The sequence below is a fragment of the Homo sapiens genome, chromosome 9 (assembly GCF_000001405.40).
Source record: "Homo sapiens chromosome 9, GRCh38.p14 Primary Assembly".
Classification (NCBI taxonomy): Eukaryota; Metazoa; Chordata; class Mammalia; order Primates; family Hominidae; genus Homo; species Homo sapiens.
In genome coordinates, this window is record NC_000009.12 from 85,221,544 (window position 1) to 85,223,325 (window position 1,782).

A 1,782-nucleotide genomic window follows, 5' to 3' on the forward strand; every position below is an offset into this window, starting at 1 on the left:
ATTAGCCAGGCGTGGTGGCGAGTGCCTGTAATTCCATCTGCTTGGGAGGCTGAGGCAGGAGAATCACTTGAACCCAGGAGGCAGAGGTTGCAGTGAGCAGACATGGTGCCACTGCACTCCAGCCTGGGCGACAACAGCGAAACTCTATCTCAAAAAAAAAAAAAAAAGAAAAAGAAAAGAAAGAAAGAAAAATTACCTATCAGGCATTACACTGATTACCTGGTGACAATATTATCTGTACACCAAACCCCCGCAACACACAATTTACCCACATCACAAACCTGCACATGTGCCCCTTGAACCTAAAATAAAAGTTGGAGTAAATAAATAAATAATAAATAAATAAATAAATAAAATAGGTCATAGAGCAAGAGACAGCAAGTCCATTCACCACCGGCTGCCTAGGACTTCCATCCTGCCATTGCATGCCCTTCTTCCTCCAATCTCACTCTGCTTCCCAATCCCAACCTTTCTATCACATGCAGCTAGAAAGCTGTGTCCCTCCAGACTGGAAGCATTTGTGTTTCTCAACCAGCAGATAACTCACTGAAAAACCCCGACCCTGGGAACCAAACGCTCTGGCTTTACCACTACCTCATCAGGGCTCTAACTTTCTCATCTGCAAAATGGGCATCCTTTCTACTTGGTAAAGCAAGGAACAGTCTATCACAGAAGTCAGGAGGACCTGATGGGCTTTTGAAATCAGCTTGTGTGGAATCGTAATTCCACCACCATCAAGCTGTGTGTGACTTCACTCTCTGAGTCTTGGTTTTCTCATGTAAAACAGGGATGTTGATGGTACTGATAGCCTTGATGTACCGGTTCAAGAAATTGCTCTTTGTGGGGCACCTGGAGCAGTGACTATACCCATGGTAAAAGTTCAATAAATGATAGTCATTATCAAATAACAACAAGGACAAAATTATAGTACAGATTGCCCAAAGCCAAGGAATCCCAAGTACAGTTTGAAATAAAACAATTGTATCCGTGTTCTCTGGCTACTATAACAAATTGCCACACACTTAACAGCTGGCAACATGGTAAATTTACGATCTTACAGTTGAGTAGGTTAGCAGTCCAACATGGATCTCGCCAGCTGAAATCCAGGTGGTGGCTGTGTTCCTTCCCTAAGGCCCAGGAAAGAATCCATTTCTTGCCATTTCTCTAGAAGCTGGAAAAGCTTCTAGAGACCGTCAGCATCCCTGAGCTGGTAGCTCACTTCCTCCATCTCTATCCGCTTTTGGAACCCTTGTGATTACATGGGGCTCACTCAGTAACCCAGAATAATCTTCCTATTGTAAGGTCAGCTGATTAGCAACCTTGATTCCATCTGCAACCCTAACTCCGCTTGATAATTTAAAGTAACATAGTCACAGGTTCTAGTGATTAGGATGTGGACAGCTTTGAGGGGGCATTATTCTGCCTAATAGAATAATTAAACAGAACCACCTTACCCACAGGGTGACACACATAGGTTTCTTTTTAATTAATTTATTTATTTTTGGGACAGAGTCTCACTCTGTTGCCTAGGCTGGAGTGCAGGGGCGCGATCCAGCTCACTGCAACCTCTGCCTCCCGGGTTCAAGCAATTCTCCTGCTTCAGCCTCCTGAGTAGCTGGGACTACAGGCATGTGCCACCATACCCAGCTAATTTTTGTATTTTTAGCAGAGACAGTGTTTCATCATGTTGGCCAGGCTCATCTCAAACTCCTGCCCTCAATTGATCTGCCCACCTCAGCCTCCCAAAGTACTGGGTTTACAGGCGTGAGCCACTGCGCCCAG

The 1,782-nt window shown here is 44.8% G+C and overlaps 1 annotated feature.

Moving 5' to 3' along the window:
• Window positions 492–993: an enhancer, noted in NCBI's record as "NANOG hESC enhancer chr9:87836950-87837451 (GRCh37/hg19 assembly coordinates)". NCBI's record gives its function as "activates a minimal SCP1, AML or CMV promoter by ChIP-STARR-seq in naive and primed H9 embryonic stem cells {active_cell/tissue: H9 hESC(naive and primed)}" and the evidence as "EXISTENCE:reporter gene assay evidence [ECO:0000049][PMID:30033119]".